The sequence below is a fragment of the Homo sapiens genome, chromosome 1, assembly GCF_000001405.40.
Source record: "Homo sapiens chromosome 1, GRCh38.p14 Primary Assembly".
Lineage (NCBI taxonomy): Eukaryota > Metazoa > Chordata > Mammalia > Primates > Hominidae > Homo > Homo sapiens.
The window spans coordinates 239,667,538-239,691,996 of record NC_000001.11 but is presented as its reverse complement, the minus strand read 5'-3'; the positions used below and the strand labels follow the sequence as shown (position 1 = coordinate 239,691,996).

The 24,459-nt window shown below is 37.5% G+C and overlaps 1 protein-coding gene across 32 annotated transcripts in view; it reads right to left on the bottom strand.

Moving 5' to 3' along the window:
* The window catches only part of CHRM3 (cholinergic receptor muscarinic 3), a 528,883-nt gene that overhangs the window by 223,454 nt on the left and 280,970 nt on the right, over window positions 1–24,459 (bottom strand). For all 32 annotated transcript variants that reach the window (NR_164748.1, XM_047443115.1, NM_001375982.1 and 29 more), the window contains one exon: window positions 13,709–13,811. The gene's annotated coding sequence lies outside the window, so the exon portion shown is untranslated. The remainder of the gene's footprint in view (window positions 1–13,708; window positions 13,812–24,459) is intronic.

Genomic DNA, 24,459 nt, shown 5'->3' with positions numbered 1-24,459 from the left:
AAAATCGCTAATTCATTTTGAGATCATCCCCTGGGGTCTCTTGCCCCAGGATCCTTATCAAAACACTAAAATAAGTACTCTTTGATTTCATGACTTCACAGTTGATCTTTCCAGACATTTAGTCTTTAGGGGGGATTCTCAAATGGTGTGTCCTTTGGAGCTTGTAAGCCTTGAGTCTAAAGCAGACATCCTATTTCACATCAAAATATGGAGACAGACATTTAATTCACTATTTATGTATATATCTAAATTAGGAGACATTAGCACGACTGAGGAAAAAAAGGTTAATAACACATAAAACATTTAGAGTTCATTTAAATTTATGAGTGGCTGTTTTCTCCGTAGGAACAATATATAACATTTAAAACTGATGAATAACTATATGATAAGATCTCCAGATAGGCGTGAGGGCCACAGCTTCATATAATTCTAATCTGTCTTCAGGTAACAGCTTGATAGTTACTCTCGCAAGTTGACATTTTGTTTAAACTGAATACATAGACTATATTATCGATGTGTCTTGGCTAAATGATGAAAAGCTTGTAGCTTCTGACCTTTAAAATATTTTCTTTCTTTTTTTTTTGTAGGAATCAGGAAAATGTTCTAACAACATGTTGAGTGAGGTAAAATTCTTTGAGCAAACACCAAGGCAGAACCATAATATTTGTAAAAATTACTCTCACAACCCAACCATTGCAAGTTCTTCACTGCACTTACCAGTATCTCTTTTTATATGTCTGAAGGGATCCTGCAAGTTTCAAATAAAAGCCAGCTGCTTCCTGAAAATCTTAAATTTGCCCTTGAAGCCCATCACTGCCCAGCTCTCACTCTGTGACCATGGGGGTCTGGTGACCTGAATGGGACTGCTCCTGGATTCCCCCAGCAGCAGGAAGAGCTCAGCTCATGACGCCTCCCATTAGAGTCCAGCAAAATTTCCTGAGTGATATAAGGTCTTTGCTTCCCTTGGTCCAGCCTAGAGACCAATAGCTAATGGTTACAGCTAACCAAAGGTATCTGCTGTTCTGCTACCCGCAGCTGGGGTCCAAACATCAACATCACTTCAACCTCAAATCCTTTGCCATTGCTCATTAACCCACTGGATCCTGTCTCCTCAGATCACTATATATACATTTAGGTACTTTGTTACAAGCAGATGAATCAGAAATATATATATATATAAAATTTTTCAGCCACTACATATCACACAAACATCCTGAATTTCTTGGAATACTAACAAAAACAACCATATGCAGCTCTTTTAAATGATGATCTTTTCCCAAGCAGAGAAGAAAATTATTGTGAATTTCCATATAAGGGGTAAATTTTGACAAATATAGTCCTATTTTTAAGTAATTTTTTTTTCTTAAGATGAGAAAGTAATTTGTGTTAAATATGCTCAATTTATGTTAATGTAGCCCCTTTTCTTGGTGATTATTTTGCCTAGCTGGGATTCATTTAGAAATTTCAGGGCCGGGTGCAGTGGCTTACACCTGTAATCCCAGCACTTTGGGAGGCTATGGCGGGCTGATCATGAGGTCAGGAGATCGAGACCATCCTGGCCAACGTGGTGAAACCCGTCTCTACTAAAAAACTAAAATTAAATTTAAAAATTAGCTGGGCGTGGTGGTGCACGCCTGTAGCCCCAGCTACTCGGGATACTGAGGCAGGAGAATTGCTTGAACCTGGGAGGCGGAGGTTGCAGTGAGTCGAGATCCCGTCACTCCAGCCTGGTGACAGAGAGACTCTGTCTCTAAAATAAAATAAAATAAATGAAAAGAAATTTCAAGTATTATATCTCCAAAAACTTGCTCTCATACAAAGTTGGAGAAATAAATTGAAATGTGAATCCATGAAATTCTGGATGGTATGGCAGAAGGAGAATGTATTGCCTTTGAAGAAAAGGAGAACTCCACCCAACAACTCTCTCTGTCTCTCTCTCTCTCTCTCTCTGTGTCTCTCTCTCTGTCTCTCTCTCTCTGTTTTAGTGTCAAGTGATCCTTTAAGCGTGTTCTGGGATGTTATGGGCTCAGAAGCATGGGCAGTCCTAGAGTTCTTACCTCCTCTCACTCCATGTGATCTCCCTGGGCAATCTTGCCTCTTCCCAGGCTTTGAATTGGCATAAAATAACATGGTATATTCCCAAATCTCCCCTAATTGGACAGCTGCTGACTGAAATCCGTACCCTGGACACGGAATATCTACATGTGTATCCTAGTACTTTACACCTTCCTCTACCAGAATATAACCTCCACAAAGGCACAGGCTTTTCCGTTTTATTTGCTGTGTTAGCATCAATGCCTAAAAGAATGTTTGGCACAGAATATGCAGTCAATAGATATCCCGCTGTTAGGATCTCTGAGAAAGAGAAAGCAAACTCTCTGAAGACGTAGTGCAAAGTTGTGGAAGTAAACGAAATCCCTCCTCCAACATAAGTTGAATACATTTGAGGCATAACTGTATGTTTTCTAATGTGCAGCAATATTAAAAATCTATTTCACAAACGCTGCTATTTTGTAATCCTTTTAACTCTTATTAAAAAATACTTTAGAGAAATTTATATTTTTATTCATTTTTTCATTCCTTTATGTAAGCAACATTTAGCCTAAATTTGAATGTCAGTCTTTCTGCGTGCACAAAGGAAGTACTCAAAGCTAAGGCAACATTGGTTCCTTATCCTCCTGCATCTTACATTTTTGACATTTCAATATAGAATCCTTCTCTGAAAAAAAAGTAAACTGAGAAAAATCTCATCCTATATTTTTCAACAAAAAAGATTAGTGATTATTAACATTAAAACAAATCACATTTTTACTCTAATTGTTATTGAAAACTCCCATAGAAAGGGTTAGAGAATTTGTAAATAAATGTAGTAGTATTGTATTAGAAAGAAGGTAGTATACTTTAATTACCATCTTTAATTTTTGAATCTTTGAATAGCAATCTTTAATTATGACTTAATCAATGGTGAATTTATCATAATACTGCAAGCCAAAGTCATATACACTTTCATTGTATATGAAAAGCAAGGAAATAAATAAGATTGCAGGGCAAGTTTAACTATCCTAAGAATACAAAATGACTTAAAATAATTTAGAAATGTATATTATATATACATATATAAATATATAATATATAAAAATAAAATATATAAATATATATATTATATAATATATATTATATTGAATAATGTATTATATATAATATTGTATATTATATTGAATAGTGTATTATATATTATATTGAATAATGTATTATATATAATATTATATATTATATTGAATAATGTATTATATATAATATTATATATTATATTGCATAACATATAATATTATATATTATACCGAGTAATATATTATATATATTATGTATTATACTGAGTAATATATTATGTATAATATATTATATTATATGGAGTAATATATAATATCATATAATATATGTTATATAAATAAATGGGAATATATGTAAATATTATATATTGTATTAAACATATATAATATATATTATAGTATATTGAATAATATATAATATATAATATAATATATTTATAAATATGATATGTAAATATATTTATATATATTTATATACATATTTATATTTATATATTTAAAACCCAAAACAATGCTTTCAAATTAACGGGAATATATATGCACACACACACAAACACACACAAATATCTATACGTACATATATATAAAATACCCACATATACATATATATGTGTATATATGTATTATATATTATTTAATAATAGATTATATAATACATATATGTGCATGTGTTTTATATATAATACATGTGTATGTGTATGTGTATATTATATATATGTATTTTTTTCCTTCTGCAAATAGATCAGTGAAAAACCTTGCAATATATTAAAAGAAAAAGTAACAAAGTATCAAAACTCCCAATTTTTTTCAGGCTGGCAACTACCTTAAGAGCAGTTTTGTGTATTAATGTGAAGCATCAGTATTCATGACACATTTAAGAGCAGTCGTATTTGATGGTGGTAAGAACATACATCCATGCATCACTTAGCGACATTAACATGTTCTAAGAAATGTGTCATTAGGTAATTTCATTATTGTGTGGACATCATAGAGGGTACTCACACAAACCTAGATGGCATAGTTTACTACATACCTAGGTTATATGGGATAGCCCATTGCTCCTAGGCTACAAACCTATGCAACATATTACTATACTGAGTATTGTAGGCAATTGTAACACAATGGTATTTGTGCTATCTAAACATATCTGAACATAGAAACAGTAGTTATTATGTTATGGGAGCACTGTTCTATTGTGGTCTGCCTTTGACTGAAGCATCATTATGCAGCACGTGGCTATGTGTGTAAACTCTAATGAATATTTTCTTAACTGTCCCTGGTTAAAACATGTCACATTTATATTAATAAAGGCATGTTTTTATGACCTCATAATGTACATATGGCAAATTTGTTAAATTTGTTCAATGTTAAAGAGTTTGAAACTTAAAAAGAATGGAATTAACTATGCAGTAAGTTAATGATTAATTTTAGTATTTCTAAGTACTATCAATATGATCTAATTCACTCAGAAAGACCATGATGCTCTGATAAATAACGACGGATTAGCAATACTACATGATATTGCCCTGGAATATTATCACTTATAAAGCATGCTAATGAATAATCTCTGAACCACCACCAGAGTTACAAAAGTGGCAGGGGCTGCCATTAAAATGAGTTATTAACAAATAAACTAAAGTGATAAATCAAATATAAAACTTGTACAAATATTCTTAGTAAAAATGGATCAATTATTCTTGGACATCAAAGGACATAGCTACCATTTTATTATTTTTCCAAGCATATTATTATTTTATTATTATTAAAATATAGTATCAATAAAATAATAATGTAATAGATAATCTTACATATATTAAGACAATCAATACATATTGAATGAATGGATAACATTTGATATTAAGTAATAGCTATTTTTCTTAAGAGAGCATCATATATTTTAAAGCACTTATGTTAATAATATGAAGTAAATTGAATGCCATTCCCTGTTATTAAAGCTATTAAAATCTTAGAAAGCAGGTATATTACATTTTTCTCTATTTGAACTTTCTTCCAACAGGTGAATGGGGCAGTCAGTAGCAGTTCAAGTTAATGAAACTCTCTGCTGATCTTTCTGAATGCTCCAGAATGTGGAGCAAATTAGTTGATTGCATAATTTCCCTAGCTGTAAAATGATGATAAATCAAGAAATTCATGGATCCGTTAAAATTCAACCAGAAAGCATTTATTCAGTGACCACTTTGCACTGCCATTAGGGACAAAGTACTATGATGAATATGGTGAGGATTCCAGTCCTCAAGGAACTCACAGTCTGAGGAGTAGCAATAAATGAAATTGATAAAGTATAGTGCAGAGTGGTGAATTCTGCGTAAATATGAAGGAAGGGCTCTGGGGAAAGACATGGAGAACTTTTAACTCTGCCCAGGGAAGGGTGAGCAGAAGGAGGGATAGGCATCACTGAACAGGTGACACTGGATCTGAGTCTTGAAGGTGAACACCAATTTCCCAGGAAAGAGGGCTCTGTGTAGTCCAGGCAGGATGAGCAGCACATGCAAGTATACTGTTTAGATAATTCCCAGAAAATCATAAAATACTGGAGCAGTGGAACATATGATTCACAGAAGGGAACAGCTTCAGATGAGCTCCCATAGAAACTCTGCTGTTTTATGATAAGTTTATAGAACAAAGCGCCTATAGGCACCATGGAATCAAGAGTTTTTAAGGTAGTGAGTAACAGAAGTCCATTTTTTTAAAATTATAGATTACTCTGGAATCAGTGCAGAGGAGAAATTAATGTGAGACAAAACTGATGGTAGAAAGATCATGAAGGAGACTATTAAAGAGCATATTAGAGTCATTCAGTTGAGATGAGAAGGCAACCAGTGGCAGGAGGCGTGATGGGGAGTCAACGACAGAACACAGTTTTTTTGTTTGTTTGTTTTTGTTTTTGTCTTTGTTTGTTTTGAGATGGAGTCTTGCTCTGTTGCCCATCATTCAGTTGAGATGAGAAGGCAACAATGGCAGGAGGCAGTGACAGGGAGTCAATGACAGAACACAGTTTTTTTTGTTTGTTTTTTGTTCTTATTTTTTGTTTGTTTGTTTGTTTTGAGATGGAGTCTTGCTCTGTTGCCCAGGCTGGCATGCAATGGCACGATCTCAGCTCACTGCAACCTCCGCCTCCTGGGTTTAAGCAATTCTCCTGCCTCAGCCTCCCGTGTAGCTGGGACTATGAGCACACACCACCATACCCAGCTAATTTTGTATTTTTAGTACAGATGGGGTTTCACTATGTTGGCCAGGCTGGTCTCGAATTCCTGACCTCAGGTGATCTGCTCACCTCAGCCTCCCAAGGGACTGGGATTACAGATGTGAGCCACTGCACCTGGTCCAGAACACAGTTTTGAGAGGTACCACAACCCAATGCACGAGAGGAGCAGGAACTTCTCATTATTGCTTTGTTTGTACTATAATGTTTGGAGAAGTGCATGGCAGAATACAAACGACTATGGGTTACAACCCCCTTCTTGTAAGAAAACCAATGAATTGCCACTAATAGTGAACTGGGGAGATAATATGATATTTAAGAAGTACTTGCTTTGTGGTGGATACTCATTTATTCCTCACAAAACTCCCGGGAAGAATATATGACTATTTTTACTTTTACAGATGAAGAAACTGAAGCTCAGAGAATTTAAATACCTTTCCTCAAATTATAGAGCCACCCAGGTCCCGGCTGGAGTTCTGTGGCTGGGAGAACAGAAACAGTTGCAGAGTAAGACAAAGCCATAACATGTGTCATGAATCGTGATATTCATTAAAGCCGAAATGCCCTGTGAAATCAGAGAAGGTAGGCAGAGGTTAAAGAACAGGGAATTCCAGTGACATGGTGAGTGGGCCTAGAGCAAGAGAGGATACAGAAGAAGATGCAAGGGAGAGGTTTTTCTGCTGATTTTATTTTTGTTTCTGTTTTGTTTACTTTTAAATACATGTCCTCACACAGGTGCTTTTGGTTCACCTACAAACACCCCCTATTCTTATCTTTTCCCCTCCAATCTCCAATCTCACTCTCTCCATCCACTGTCCCAGAAAATTCTCATCCTCTCTCCATATGCCATCCTCTCTTTTCTTTTCCTTCTCTTCTCTTTTCTTTCTCTTTCTCTTTCTTTCTTTCTTTCTTTCTCTTTCTTTCTCTCTTTCCTTTCCTTTCCTTTCTTCTTTCCTCTCTCTCTCTCTCTCTCCTTCCTTCCTTCCTTTTTTTCTTTCTTTTTTCTTTTTTTTGAGACGGAATCTCGCTCTGTTGCCCAGGCTGTAGTGCAGTGGCATGATCTCAGCTCACTGCAACCTCTGCTTCTCAGGTTCTAGCGCCAACATGCCCGGCTAATTTTTTTGCATTTTTTAGTAGAGATGGGGTTTCACCATGTTGCCCAGCCTGGTCTCGAACTCCTGACCTCAAGTGATCCGCACTCCTCGGCCTCCCAAAGTCCTGAGATTACAGGCGTGAGCCACTGTGCCCAGCCCATACACCTTCCTTTCTTATTTGCATTTGTAAACTTTCAGGGATTACCCAGTATCATCCTTAAGGCAATCCCTGAGACATTTGGGTCTGGATAATTCTTTGTTGTGGGGGACTGTCCTGTGCATGCCAGAAAGTCTGCATCAATACCTGTTAGGGGACTCACCCAGGGACTGGGCCATAGCAGTGCCCTGTAACAGCAAATTAGTCAAGCAGATTAAAGGGGAAACAACTTACTTAATTGTTCTGTGGTGGCAGGCATGAATTCTACCACTGAACCACCCATGGTTTTATTCTGGTAAAAAATTGGTTTGTTTAAAAAATCTTCTCCCACACGGGAATATGGGTTAGGAATCCTAAATACATGAATTACTTATTCCCTGAGGCACAGTATGTTGTTATACTGGAGAATGTAATTTAACTTCAAAGTGAAATTTCACAATTGCTGAGAAAAATAATTTGACATGTGAAAAGCTTATATTATTGCTAAGATCATCCTATTGCTTTGGACCATCTTTTTTTTTTCTAAAATGCAAAAGTGAAGCAATATATAGCATATCATCTTTAACTGGGTTTAAGCTTTGCCAAGAAAAGTCAGAGATTTCATAGAAAAATAGAGGCAAGAGAATGATCCAAATGCTTCTTAGAAAGTTTACTTAGGTAATATATTACCTGACTGGATGACTTCAGAAGCTATTCAGCTGTTCACAAGTAGAGCTGTTTCTATACCAGACTAGAGTTTGCAGAGATGCTGTCGAATTTTATCTCTTAATGTTTGTCCACATGACTCTAGCAAAGTTGTTAAAGATAAGAGGCCTCGATTAGGAATCTTTAGACCTAGCACATCTCCTTAATATGGCAGAAAAAAGTAAAAAAGACTTTAAAGATGAAAATAATGGTGAAAAGAAAAGGTTTGGGCAGTTATGCCTGAATAAAATCTAGATGAGCTGCTAATAAAAGTATTAGCTATTTTGGCCCTTTGACTTTGTCCAAATCCTTTAAAAACGATGTCTCTCTCTCTCTGCTTCAGCAGAGCACACCAGATATAGTCTTCTAATCTGATGAATTACCATTTTTATTGCTCATTACTTCATGTATCTAGTTCATTGGTTAAGTCACTTCCTAGATTTGGTATAATTTCATCTGCTTGTGTTTAAAATAAAAATGCATTGGATGTGAATTATTCATTTACTCATTCCACAAATATTTACCTAAGTCTAATATGGCCTAAGCATTGAGGATGTTGGGAGAATACATCTTTTGTTCCAAAATAATCACACCCAAAAGTCAATACGTTGGTCAACGTGTACAAAGTAACACTTAAAAAGGGGGAATGAGTCTTGATGTTCTATAACACAGTAGGGTGACTGTGGTTAACAATACTGTATTGTCTATTTCAAAGTAGCTAGAAGAGAGGATGTTGAATGTTCTTACTGCAAATAAATGAGGTGACATGATATGCTAAATAGCCTAATTAAATTTTTATACAATGTACACATGTATCCAAACATCACACTTTACCCCCATAAATATGTACAATTATTACGTGTCAATTAAAAACAAAAAGTCAATGAAAGGTGCCAGAGAAATAACAGATACAAAAAAATTTTGCTAAACAGTAAGTAGACATTAACAAACATATATTTTTGAAGCATTTGTTGTATTAACATAAAATAATACAAACCTTAACAATCAACTCAAAATTACCAAGTGTCCATGTTGTATCTGCCATATAATAAACAGAGGGCATATTTATATTTTACGTCAGTTTTTTTTTTAATGAATCCTAACCAATAGCATGTCAGTTTTACGGAAACTCTCTGATTAAAGGGAGTTAATAGCAAATAAAACAAATAGTAGAAAATTCAAGATGAAGTAAGCTTAATCCAAGGTTAATTTCAGATACTATTAATTTCTCTCCCAGTAGCTCTTCCATGTAGTGGCAAAATGATGGATTTTTCAGAGATTTTAATTTGCCTTTATTCTGAACCCAGACATTCAAGAATATAAGGAATTTAGAAGAAAAAAATGGTGCTTTACATTAGTTGAAAAGCTCTGCCTGTACTAATGTACAACTCTAACATATAAGGGATATCGCTGCCTGAATCCTTTCAAAGAAATTCCTAAAATGGCTTGAAAGGAATCTGTGACCTCATTACAGCTCTATTCACGAAGGAGAAGAATTGTACACGAGGCCAGTCCATCTTGATCCCAAAAGGAAACACAAAGACATCTCATTAATAAACACTGTTCCTTAATGTGCCTCTAGAGATGCTCAGTGTGTGTATGTTTGTGTGTCTCTGTATTTTGGCCCCCATTTTTATTCCAAAATAAATATTTAAGAGGAAGCTTAAAAGATCAGCTGTTTTTTTAAACACAGAACAGCCCTGCACGGGCATATTATTTGGATAAATTAGATCTGCAAACACACTTTAGCTTTGCTGATGAAAATAATTTAGAATAAAGAAGGTAACCATGCCTCACATGTTGATTCAACACCTTATAACATCTTTCTTTTTTTTTGAGACCAGTTATTGCTCCCAGGCTGGAGTGCAGTGGCATGATCATAGCTCGCTGTCATCTTAAACTCCTGGGCTCCAGCCATCCTCCCACCTCAGCCTCCCAAGTATTTAGGACTACAGGTGTGCACCACCACACCAGGCTAATTTTTAAATTTCTTTTATGTAGAGACAGGATGTCACTACGTTCAGCTCAGGCCGGTCTCGACTCCTGGTCTCAACTGAATCTCCCACCTTGGCCTCCCAAAGTGCTGGGATTACAGGCATGAGCCACTGTACCCAGACTAATTTATAACATCTTTATTGGTCTCAGTTACTTGAATGTCATATACATGTTTTTAGCTACGTTTTTAAACACAGAGGCTTGATCTTTTTTATAGTCTTTCACTGATCATTTTTACACTGATGGTGTAAACACTGATGGTTTCATGTTGAAGACAGGATAAAATAGTGATTGTGCCATGCACCAGGGATGTGGGCACAGACCCAAATTTCCACTTAGCTTCAATGTGGTTTGAATTTATGAAGGTCTTTATAAATCCCAATTAAAATACCTGCAAAGGTAACTTTTCTGAAGAAAACTTTCTTATGACACCTTATCTTCTTCCCTTCCCATGGGAAATGTAACCATGGGCATAAGAGTCTACAGTAAAGATTTCAGTGGCTAAAACAATGGTGATATGGTTTGGCTGTGTCCCCACCCAAAACCCAATTTGAATCATATCTCCCAGAATTCCCACGTGTTGCGGGAGGGACCCAGGGGGAGGTAATGGAATCATGGAGACTGGTCATTCCTGTGCTATTCTTGTGATAGTGAATAAGTCTCATGAGATCTGATGTGTTTATCAAGGGTTTCTGCTTTTGCTTCCTCCTCATTTTTCTCTGGCTGCTGCCATGTAAGAAGTGCCTTTCACCTCCCGCCATGATTTGAGGCCTCCCCAGCCATGTGGAACTGTAAGTCCAATTAAACCCCTTTTTCTTCCCAGTCTTGGATACGTCTTAATCAGTAGCATGAAAACAAACTAATACAAATGGTTTATAAGGTCACTTAGGAGAAAAAAAAAAGTCTCCTCCGCAGTTCAAATAAAATGTTATTCATTAGTGGGAAGGAAGGTCATCTACATGTCTGAGCAGAAGGAGAAAAGACCTCAGCCACAAGCACTCCAACCACACACACACACACACACATGCACACACCAAATTCTGTTATTCTGCCTAAAAATTCACCCATATCAAATTTTGTTGGCTGAATCATACAACTTAGGAAGGAGAGACATTTAACACACTTTGGTAGCTGTGACATAAAATTAATCTTATCGTAGTGTCACTACCAAATTACAACATCCCTTTGATCCTATGTAAGGTGCAATCAGGACCCTGATTGGGTGGCAATCTGTTGGATAGGTAAACAATGTCTGTCATTTCTATACTTGTGAATTACTTTTGGCCTAAGGATCACTATGGGTCACTTCTGGGAGGAGAAGACCAAGCAGAAGGTACTGCTACAGCTTTTGTAGTCTTCTTCCATTTGCTCCTAAAATTTAATGCTTCAATGACTCAATCCTTCAACAAAGACTGAAGTCAGATTCTTCATTCAACCTAGTATAAATGATCACCCTAAATTATTATTATTATTACTATTATTATTGAAGATGGTGAAGCAGGAGTCAACCAGATATTTTCTATAAAGACAATTACTCTGGCTATTGGATGAAGCACGGATTGAACAGGACAAGAATAGAAATAAGATGATTTAGGGACATCAGAGAAGAGTGGTGAGATGAGGAAGTGATGTATGTGACTTGGACTTGGGAGATGTTTTTACACAAAGAGAAGGGAAGGTATTAGGGCAGTGGCTGCACAATGGAATAATTTGAGGAACTTTAAAAAATTCTGAAGCCCGCGGTCCACCCTGAGAGGTGTTGATTTAATCTTCTGCGGTGAAGCCGGAGAACCAGTATCTCTTCACAGTGAAGGTTGAGACCTATGGGCTCAGAGCGGACTGTGAAGGACTGGATGGGTTAGACGCAGAAATTAAGAGGAAGAATTTCTGACCATTTACAGAGAAAGAGAAGACTGGGAATCCAGATTTTTATGTGAACTGTCCTGATTTTTTGATTTGGCAATTTCTTAGTTATCATGCATACAAATTTGTGTAGGCCCAAAATAAATAATAAAATAAACGAACTAAGGTGGATCTGACAAGCAGATGACCAGTTGCAATTTCTGCCTTAAATCAGGGACATTAATCTCTAATCATGGATTTCAGACTCTCACAGAATGTAAAAGTAGAACTCTTTGGAAAACCTTAGAAACACATCTGTTAATTACTTCATACATCTCTAAGAATAAACGTGACCTGGTACATTTGGGACATTGCAATTAGAGGTGAATTTATCTACTCTCTCTCACTCTCCCTCCCTCCTGTTCAGATTTAAATAATAACGCACTTCCCAAGGAAGTACAGAAACCTTCCCAAGGCCATTGTTAAGTAGTAGAGTTAGGTCTTGAGCTCACACCTGATTAATTATCCTCTGTGCTACTTCCCAATTTCCCAAACTTCATTTTCAACATACTTCTGATGGGGGCAGGGGAGGAGGCAGAGGCAGGTGAGTTGTTATGTAGTTTTCCTGTTGAAAATAGAATTTATGGGGCACTTTTCCAAATATTTATAAGTATTTCAACAAGCCTGCTATATTTTTAATAATATTTTAAAAAGTTGCATACAAGTAAGCAATCAATCTTGTAATAAAGTATCCCTTAGTCATTGCATACTATATATACAAACACACACATGCATATATTATGTAATAGGTGTCGTGACATACCTATGTCTATATCTATCTATCTATCTATCTATCTATCTATCCATCTATCTACCTATCTATGTTACATACTCACAAACAGTGCTCATCCAAGTAAGTCTGAATTAGACAGAAGCTACAGGCTGACATATTTATATATAGTGAGAATCTACTTTCAGAATATCCTTCAAGAGAATTCATTAAACATTAATATTATCAAACAGCATATTTTTTGTTTTTATGTAATATTTATGTTGGCATACATGAAGGGAATAACTGTCACAAAATCTTAGTGTTTGAGTAGTCAATTAATTGATCTAATTCTATTAATTAATTCACATATGTAGTCATTTTTATCCTGTGAGTTGTTACACAGTTTTCTCTAAGCCTGGACTAATTTGGGGAGGGGAAAGAAGTCGATGTTTTTCTGTAAGAATTTTGGACTACAGATACTACACTTATAACATACCAGAGTATCAGTCATATTTCATCATTTGATTTCCATAGATTTCTGGATAATTCTTATTATTTTCAGAACCATATAAGTGTATACTTTCTCCTCTCTCTTTGAATGGCTATATTCTTAATTTGAGCTTATCATATAACCAAGATAATGAAGTAGTCTTCAGGAGTTGTGGATGCCAAAATATAAACACATGCTTCTAAGTAGAAAAGACAGTCATCGCTGACACATGAATTTAATTGTTCAGAGCAGATTCCATTCTTAGCAATCCACAGGAATGAATATACATCCATAGTTATGATTCAAAAATGTCAGTAATCATGTACTGGAGATTTACATACCTGTTCCAGGTAGGAGCATCAAACCAATACAATGTGTCCAGAATTGTGCTGTATGTTGAACTTTCCTTCTAGAAAGAGACCAGGTGCCACGCCACAGCAAAACCTAAAAATGAAACAGGGAAGGGGTAAGTTTAAAATAAGATAAAAGAACAACAAGTAGTACACTCAGATCACTGAATTGTGAGATGGAATATTAATTACATGATAGATTTCAAAAATGGAGATTTATCCCAGCATTTCCAAATATACTTCATCAAGAAATTATTTTATTCTATGACACCTGTTAGTATCCCGCTGAGGGCGCGATCCACAGCAGTTACTGGGGAAACAATGAGATGCTGTAACCTCCTGTTCAACACAAATGCCTCAGCTTATGGTTTCTGTCATATGGTCACCTGCCCTCAGAAACTTCCAATAATTGGCAGTATTTTATAAGCTTCCCCCAAAAATATGTACACATAACATACAGACATTTATATTATTAGGTTGATATAAAGCTGCTATGGTTTTGTATAGAATGACTGTCCTTTTCAAAACTCATACTGAAATGTAATTGCCAGTGTCACAGTAGTAAGAGGTGGGACCTTTAAGAGGTGATTAAGCTATGAGGGCTGTGACCTCATGGGTGGGAGAATGCTGTACAAAACGTTGACTGTGTCTCCCTTCTCCCTCTTTTCCTCTTTTGCTTTTCTGCCTTCTGCCATGTGAAGACACAGCATTCTGCTTTGTGGTGACTCAGCAAGAAGGCCAGATACCGGTGCCTTGATCTTAGACTTCCCAGCCCCCAAAATTGCAAGGCAATAAATGTCTGTTGATTGTGAATTACCCAGTCTGTGGTATTTTGTTATAGCAGCACAAAAAAAGACGCAACTAGGTATGAGTTCCCCCTAATGTTTTATGGCAAATAATTTAAGAATCACCCACTTTACCGATTCAACTTATTTCATGGCAACAAGTATTTGACATTCACTCATCATTTTGATCAATATTTACTAAGCAAATAATATGAAGCAGGTATTGGGTTAAAATATTAAGTAGAGGCTTGGTCTTGTTCTCAAAAAGCCAAGTCTAATGAGGGAAAGAGGCCAAGTTAGATGTAGATCACCCCCATTCAGGATGTGGAAAGCTAAATCATTGCCAGTTCAAGGAGCAGAGAGTTAGGTAAGAGGGTGACATCACAGAGCAGGGGGTCTTTAACCTGAGTCTTGTATGCAGTGTAGGAGAGTGATGGGCAGACAAAAGGAAATGGGATGGGGAGGGAGGAGAAAGAGATCTAGCCGTCATGCTCCCATGCAGGAGGCTGTGAAGGGGAATGGCATGTTCTGAAAGCTGCCCCAGTGGGGGCTCAGAACAACAGGAGGAAAATCAAACTTATGCACACGATGTGGCAGAACATCCTTTTATAGATTTAAATGACTGCAAATCAGATTAACTGTACAAATGAAAGCATACACCCCAAGAATTTTCAGAATTTGAAACTCGTCCCGAAATCATTTGCACACATTATCTCATTCTGGTTTCACAATCTCCCTACAGGTTGGGCAGTGTAAGTTCACCCCTACCATGTGCTAGGGGAACTGAGGTTAAGGAGCTTGCCCAATACCACAGGGTGATTTGTGCAGCCTTGGAGTAGTGGCTAAAACTGGGGCCAGTCCCCCTTACAACACAAGGAGAGCTGTGATGCCAGGGTTCTTGAAGAAGTTAAGTGTGGCACAATGATGAATGTGGTATGACCATGATATACACTATTTCTTGACAGTGAATGCTTTGCTGTTACATGCTGCAGAGTGGGCTCTGGGCAGAAATGGACTGTTTCCAATCTCACCCTTCCTGTTTCCAATATCATAAATGCAAGCATGGGGCAGACACACTCAACTATGATCAGGTCCACATTTTTTCACCTTGTGAGTTTCAATAATAGACTTCTCTGTAATACACATGGCAGGCATGGCAGGCTACTTTGTACTGTCCAGCAACTACAGAAAAACTGGTCATTCTGTCTGAATCCAGCTGTGTATGATCCTCAAATTTCCCCTGCAGACTTAATTGTTATCTATGAGCTTCTCTCAAGCCTTGTGATGTCCACCTCTGAAATCCTTAGTACTTTAGTAACTTTGCTGGTGCAGCGTCTGGGGCAAGGGTCTTTGATGCTGACAAGAAGTTAGAACTGTCTTGTCTATTCAGGTAGAAAAAGAAGCTAGCACTCATTTGTAACAGGCGAAAACAGGGATAGTGGGCATGGATATGCGGGGAAAGCAGGCTTAAAAATGCAAAAAGGAAGAAACCTTCTCTCTGACACTTAATGAGAGAAGGCTCATGTAAAATAATATCTAAAGGAGCCTCTGGGATTCTCCAGAGTTGTGAAATACAGTTGCTGAAGCTGGGAAGATTGCAGAGGAATTTTTTACCTTCCTTTTCCCTCCCTCCCATGTTTTCTTTTAAACTCCTAAAGTGGAACTGCTTAGAATATTTCCTACACAGCTCAATATCTTATCATGAAGGTGAGAGACTAGAAAATCTTTTGGCAGCCCCCAAACTGCCTCACCCTCATGAAAGAGGATAGAATTTGATATTTTTAATGCTTTTCCAATTGAAAAACTGTATGCTTGTTACAGGCTTTCTGATACCTTATAACATATTAGAAATTACTTTTGGCTTTAAAGAAGAGTGATTGCTTTCAAAGACAGTTTCTGCTACAAATTCCCTCAAGATAAAAACCAATTTCCAGACAACAATGAGCAATAATGCCTAGAAAACAGACACTGGGTATGAGACAGACAAAATCCAAATGGCAGTACCATTCCAAAATGTAACTTCTAGCAATGGTCTTGTCTTGCAATTCTTGACAAACTACACTTGTTATCACAAGAATTAAGCTTGTTGTTCTTGGGTAGGATGCAACAAATAGAAGATTAAACTGAAGTATTATCTGAAACCAAGACAAAGAAGCAGAAAAACAAGTCAAAAAGTCTCTGAGAAACCTAATGGGCACAAGCTTGGATAAGATTTTTAAAAGAGAAATTGGACTGTACGAAGCATTCAAAAATGAGCAATTTATGAAAATGTATTTATTCTGAATGTACTTCCCATTTGGTTGGGTGAACACAAGAAAACTCACAGGGTGAACAGAAGTGACCTCAGTGATTTGCAATCTAATTAAGCACTTGCTATTGAGAGATCAGGTTTCTAGAGAACATTGATAATTGACCCCTATTAACATAAATTCTGGCATGAGAAAATGGAGTCTAGAAAACCTTGTATCAAAAGAACTCGAATGGATAATCCATGCAAGAAGAAGTCAGGAGTGGGAGGGAAGGTAGATAAAATTAGAGAAGCAGAGACAGCGAGGAGGAGTAATAATTTCCTGTATGGCCACGAACACACCAGGTATTGATTAATTCACCAAATCGTTTCAACAGTCTTGTAAAGGAGACACCATTGTTGCCAATTTACCATTGAAAAAATTATTTTTGTGAGAGGCTCATCCACTTAGCATACAACAGGAAATGGCCTGAGTTGGGATTTGAATTGCTTGTCTGATACTTAAGTGATTTTTCTTTCTTTTTTTTTTTTTTTTTTGAGATGGAGTCTCAGTCTGTCGCTCAGGCTGGAGTGCAGTGGCGCAATCTTGGCTCACTGCAAGCTCTGCCTCCTAGGTTCACACCATTCTCCTGCCTCAGCCTTCAGAGTAGCTGGGACTACAGGCGCCCGCCACCAAGCCCAGCTAATTTTTTTGTATTTTCAGTAGAGATGGGGTTTCACCGTGTTAGCCAGGATGGTCTCGATCTCATGACCTCGTGATCCCCCCGCCTGGGCCTCCCAAAGTGCTGAGATTACAGGCATGAGCCACCGCGCCCAGCCAGTGATTTTGCTAATTAAGCCACACTAATGGTCAAATGGTAAGTACAATGTACATTAACTGCAAGTATAATGAACAAAAAATGAAGATGACATTTGCAAAAAGAACTAATAAATTTATATTTTCTAGTGGTCCTATAAATATGTACAGCCCATCAAATCACCAGTCTGACCCATACCTATATTAAGAGTCCTTAAATATATTCATATCTGTGGACCTAGTAATCCCACTCACAAATTATTCCACGGAAATAATTTAAAGTCAAAAAAATGGCGTTCCTAGGAAAATGATCACCGTAACATTACAGGTTGAGTGTTCTTTATCTGAAATGCTTGGGATCAGAAGTGTTTCAGGTTTCTGATTTTTTCAGATTTTGGAATATTTGTACTTGTTGGGCATTCCTAACCGAAAAATCCAAAAATGTGAAATGCTCCAGGTAGCATTTCCTTCGAGTGTCATGTTGGTGCTCAAAAAGTTTTGGATTTTGGAGTGTTTTAGATTTTGGAGTGTTTTAGATTTGGAGTGTTTTAGATTAGGGTTGCTGATCTGTATTTATAATAGTGAATAATAGAAACTATTTGTGTATCGAACAGGAAAGCATTTAAGAAAATGTAGGTATAGAAATTGCATGGTGCATTAAGTAGCCATAAGTGATAAATAGGTAGCAACAAGGAAAATGATAACAAAAGCAGAATATAAAATTATATGCTCTGATGATAAATAGATACTATATATATGTTAATGAAAACTAAAAGGATGCTCAGAAAAAAAAGAAATTAGTTGTTCTAGGGCAGAGTAATTATAAATACATTAAAATCATAATCTCATTCTTATAATGTACTATTAAATTATACCCATTAAAATATACGTTGAATGAAAATATAGACACAGAAATAAAAAGCAAACATAGCTGATATATGTGTTTGCATGGTTAAATAGTTTCCAGCATATACAATATTATTTTGTTACTTTATTAACTATTTGATATTGGAGGAGGGGTGAAGGAGAGACACTTAGAGAGTATGATGAAAATCAATTTCTTATAATAACAAGAGTTAATGGGAAAAAAGATTACAATAATAGGAAGATTTGTTGACAGAATTGCTATTGCATATGACTTTAAACGCGTGATCAGCAATCTTCCACTCTGCATTGCACATTTCACCTTCTCACCTTCCCTCCATCCCATTCCTACCCCATTCTCTGGACAAGGACGGAGCTAAAGAAAAGAACTGAGCTGCAGAATTCTCCCACTCCTTCATTCTCTGCTTGAAGGCATCAGGCCATGGCCCAGACACGTTCTCCAGCTCCGGGAAGCCATTCTGTCTTCTGCTGGGCAGGAAGAACGTGCATTTGAAGAAACCGAAGCTAATTTGGGGGTGCTGCTTCTGTCTCATGTAGGAAGAATGGTAAACCAGAAGATGTTCATCATGAGTCTCACATGGTGCCCTAATCACATCTCTCTAGTCTTGGGCTCACTGATAGTTTTAGGCAGTACATTCTAACATCTGGTGCTTCAAAAAATCTCGTGTCTTTTAGACATGATAGGAAGGTGGGGAAACTGCACTACCCACCTCCTGGGTTAACAGTTCTTAGAAAACACAGGCACTCCCTAAGTTTATAAATCTTACAAACCATTTGAAATTCACAAACCCTTGCCCCTCCCCCTGCATTATGCTTATACTTGCATGTATTAAAAAGAAACACAAAGTTAAATGTAATTCAGGCACCGTTTGATCTCCTTTGGATAAGTTAGCCTCTTAACCTTCCTTTCCCATTCTTTCTCCCCTACCCCTTTCTGTGTGTGTGTGTGTGTGTGTGTGTGTGTGTAGTGGGAAGAAAGAGACATGGTTTAAATGAACTCAGGAACAGAAGAAAGAGTCTGTGTCTCCAGAATTTGATTATCTTCTCTGATCTATGGCATGTGGCTCCTTATCCATCTGGGTGCTCCTAGCCCTGCTGACATTGACAGTGAGGTTTATCACTTGCATGCATGCCATTTGCATTTTCTTGACCTAGTAAGCTTGGGTCGACATCTCTGTTCTTGGTCTCATCTTGTCTCCTGCTGACAAGGAGGCCTTTTCTGAAGCCTTTTCTGAGGTCTTGTCTCCTGCTGACAAAAGGAAGCCTTTTCTGAGGTCTGCTCACAGAGCCCTAGAGTGCTGCAGCCCCCAGGACAGAGCCGCCTTCATCCATATGATGGCATCCCGTCCTCATTGCCAAGTCCTCTAGCTATCTTGGGGTCCCACCTACGTCACACTGGAAAGTAACTTGTAAGGCTTTCCTCTGACTGACAGGCTGAACTTCCAAGTTCACTAAAACATCAATAGAGGGCTACATGTGAAATGGATCCCTGTCTTGTGCATAACTCATCTTTACCAACATGCCTTTCATTCTCTGGGATAAAATTCCAGGTGGAAAAGCTGGGAGGCATGATTCAGACTGCTTTGTCTCCTCCCTTTCACTGTCATTCTTGTTTTGCAGAATTCACCAAATTCAGCAAGGAAGCATGATTTTCCTTTTCTTTCTTGGTGACATATTCTCCTACCACCAGAGACTGAGGCTAGATGTAATCAGTTGAAGAATTCTCTTCCATACATTCTGACTTGAGTTTTCCAGGCTTGGCCCTTGATAAACTAAAAAAAGAATTTAGAAATTATTTCTCAAAAACTACTCTGGATTTCCAATTATATCCAAGGCAGAGTAACAGGATGAAATGTAACCTACACCCCACCTCACCTCCTCAAAAAAAAAAAAGTAAAATAAAATAACTGTTTTCAATAATGGGACAACAGGCAGTGCATAACTGTGGTAAATGTGAGAAGGAAAAGCTGCATCTGGGCCTTTTTTTTCTTTTTGACATGATCTTGCTCTGTCACCCAGGCTGGAGTGCACTGGAGTGATCCTGGCTTGCTGCAGGCTTCACCTCCTAGGCTGAAGGGGGTCCTCCAACCTCAGCCTCCCCAGTAGCTGGGACTATAGAGTGCACCACCATGTCCAGCTAATTAATACAAAATGTAGAGATGGGGTCTTCCTCTGTGGACCAAGCTGGTCTCAAACTCTGGACTCAAGTGATCCTCTCTGTACGGTCTCCCAAGGTGTTGGGATTACAGGGTGAGCCACTGCGCCCAGCCTGGGCTTTTTATTTTGAAGAAATTTCTGGAAAATGGGTAGAGACAAGAGAACCCACAGTGAGTTTGGTTGCCTCACTGAGTTGAAGAAATGGTTGATTAGAATTTGAGGAGTCTAGTAATCCTATGAAAAAGATGCTAAACAAAATTAGTGATTAGGAAAATGCAGATGAAAGCCACAATAAGATACTATCCCATACCGTAAGAATGGCAAAATTAGAACAACATAATACATCTATGTTGGCAGAGACGGGAAGCAACTATAACTCTCATACACTGCTGATGGGAATGTAATGTGGTACAACTACTTTAGAAAACACACAATGGAAAATTTATTATGTAGCTAAACACATATTTAATATATACTGCTGAGCAATTATACTCCTACTTATTCACCAAAGAGAAGTGAAAAATACAAGTCTACTCAGAAACTTGCATATGAAGTTCACAGAAACTATCCACAGTCACCCCAAACTGGGAAAGAAAAAACTCAATTATCCCACTTTGGGAAACTGAGGTGGGGGGGGTAGATCACCTGAGGTTGGGAGTTCGAGACCAGCCTGATCAACATGGTGAAACCTCATCTCTACTAAAAATACAAAAATTAGCTGGGTGTGGTGGAGCACGCCTGTAATCCCAGCTGCTTGGGAAGCTGAGGCAGGAGAATCTCTTGAATCTGGGAGGCTCTTGAATCTGGGAGGCAGAGGTTGCAGTGAGCCGAGATTATGTCACTGCACTCCAGCCTGGGCGACAGAGTGAGACTCTATCTCCATAAAAACAAAAACCAAAAAACAATTATCCATCAGATGGGCTGGAGAAGCAAAATGTGATACTGTCATGCAATGGAATCTTAAAGATGCAATACAAAGTGATGAACTACTGATGTTCACAATATATGTAAATTTCAAAAACACACTGTGCAAAAGAAGTCAGACACAGAAATATTTTACCTATGATTTTATTTTTATAAAGCTCTAGAAAAAAGAAATAGAGACTATGGGCCAGAAAGCAGAAAAGCATTTTTCCTGGGGCTTGGGGTGGGGGTGGCATGTGTTTACAGCAACTAGGAAGAGGTATAAGAGAACTTGGCGTGATGGTGAAAATATGTTAGGGCTTGATTTAGTGGTAGCAACATGGTAGATAAACTTCTCTAATCTCATCCAAATATACACTAAAGATGAGCGCTTGTTATTGCACATGTATTATGCCTTAATATAGTTGATTAAAACAAAACCTTAACTGGCTTCTTATTATTTTATAATATCAGACTGATCTCTTAAAATCTCGTATTTCAAGAGTCATCTTTAATATTGAATATTAATTTAGTACATGCAGAGATATTTTTGTCTTGTGTTTGTTTCTAAAATAATCCAGCATTTGTGGGAAAGGAGGGCCATGTAAAAGAAACGAGTTGGCCATGGCCATATATTGCTAATTATTGAAGCTGCAAGATGGGTATAGTGGGTTGATTATAGTATTCTCTCTGCTTTTGAATATGCTTGTAACTTTCTATTCAAAACCTTTTTTAATACAGTGGATTGCATTTTAAATGACAATATTATAATTAGTATATTAGAATGAGGTGTCTGGTATAACCCCTTCCACGTTATTATCCCCTGGTCATGTATAAAGTCTTTCTGGGTCTTTCTAACTTTTCTGTCATTCTAGAATTTTTTTCCCCTTTTATCTTTTAGTCAACAGTCCCTTTCAGCTTAGAATCAACTTGGGTGACACGTGTAGGTCAAGACCTGAAAAATTTGAGGAAAATTAGTTAAATCTGAGTCTGGTTCTTTATATTAAACAATAATGATATTTAGTGCTCTTAACCATTTCATCGAGCAAAGTATTAAGAAAACAAAACAGTAATGCCAGGCCTGCAGAAATAAATCCCTTTTTAAGGAAAAAATAAAACAACAACGTGTAGAGAAATGCCACTTTGTTAACTGGGTGAATAACAACTTGTCCTTACAAGTTGTCTGAAACAGAACAAAGAAGTCAAATTCACATAACAAAGACAAAGAAAGGAGCGTATAAAAAGTTTAAAAGGGAAAGAATATTGGACTTAATTATTTTTACCCTACCTTTCCCTTTTAAGGCATTAGAAATCTCGCCTAACTTCGGGGAACGCTGGCTCCAAGCTAAGAGTCATGTGAGTAGGGTTTGTGTCCAGGAGTGCACAGCCTATTCCAGCCCCGGCACCAAGGATCAACAGGCTCCACACCATGCTGACAGTGCCTCAGGGAATTTTCGGGGAGATGGAAGCTCAGGATGAAGTCGCTCAGAAAAGAAATTGATTAAGGACGCAGAAAGAAGATAGTGTTCAACTATGCAGGCAGGGATGCCCTTTAAAGAAATTAATGTCCCTTTCAGTTTCTTAGTGCGGTGTAAAGTGGAATATGGCATTTCTCCTAATCCTATTATCTCTAGAACTACTGGTTTGTTCTCTGAATAAGACCCCAAACTGTCTTTCTAATGAGCAAGACTGGACAAGAAAACACATCCTAATCACCAACAAACATAAGCTTCTGCAGTCACACTCTGATGTGATAAATTAGAATTCTGCTCTACAGAAGCCAACACAGTATGGATGAGTTGAGAGTTATTTTTAATGTTAACCTAGAATGGTAAAGCATCAGAATGTTTGAGCCTAAGCTGTACAGAGGCAATACAAAATTCTATTACTGTAGAATTCTAATTTTCCTTTAGACACAATTCTTTTACATTTTAACTATATCTTCCTGTACTTTATCCCAAGAGCAATGCAGAGTTATTAAAATGCTTTGAGTGGAAGACTGAAGTGATAGAGATGGTCTTTATGTAAAAGGTATCTGGAAGCAATGCTCAGACTAAACATTAAAGGAAAAGAGGTTCGAGAAGTGGGGGACACATCACATTTTAAAAGTGTATTTGGGCCAGACACGGTGGCTCACACCTGTAATCCCAGCACTTTGGGATGCTGAGGTGGGCAGATCACTTCAGGTCAGGAATTCGAGACCAAGCTGGCTAACATGGTGAAAACCCATCTCTACTAAAAATATTACAGGTGGTAGTTCAAGCCTGTAATCCCAGCTACTCAGGAGGCTGAGGCATGAGAATTGCTTGGGCCTCGGAGGCAGAGGTTGCAGTCAGCCAAGATCACGCCACTGCACTCCAGCCTGGGCAACAGAGCAAGACTCTGTCTCAAAAAAAAAAAAAAAAAAAAAAAAAAAGAAAGGGGAAAAAAAAGAAAAGAAAAAGTGTATTTGACCTTAAGTGATAAAAAAAAGAGAACACTTTTAAGTAGTAGTGAATTCTTAATAAAATTAGGTAGCATGGAGTCTGCACCAATTCCAAAAAGCAATGTAAAACAAAACACTTATTACATATTGCTTTTAAGTTGTAGGAGAAAAATGGGTTTGTACTAGAGTTACAAATGTACAAGAGCACAGATGGATGATTCTGTTCCTATCAGGTATGGGAAGACAATAAAAGACATGACAGAGAAAGGTGATTTGTGTTGGATTCTGAAGAGCTGGGTAGAGTTTTGACAGGAAAACTTTCAAGATAAGGGGGTTTGTACACACAGAAAAACATCCGAAAGCCTGTAGCACAGAACATATTTAGACAGCTTGACCAGGGCATGTGCACTTACAGGAGGTAGCACGTGACAAGGGAAAGGATGAAGAGGTGCTTCTCTGAGAACTTAATTCTCCCCCTTGAGCTTCAGTTTCTTCGTGGAGTCTAAATTTTCCTATCTTGGACACACAATTAACATCTGCCCA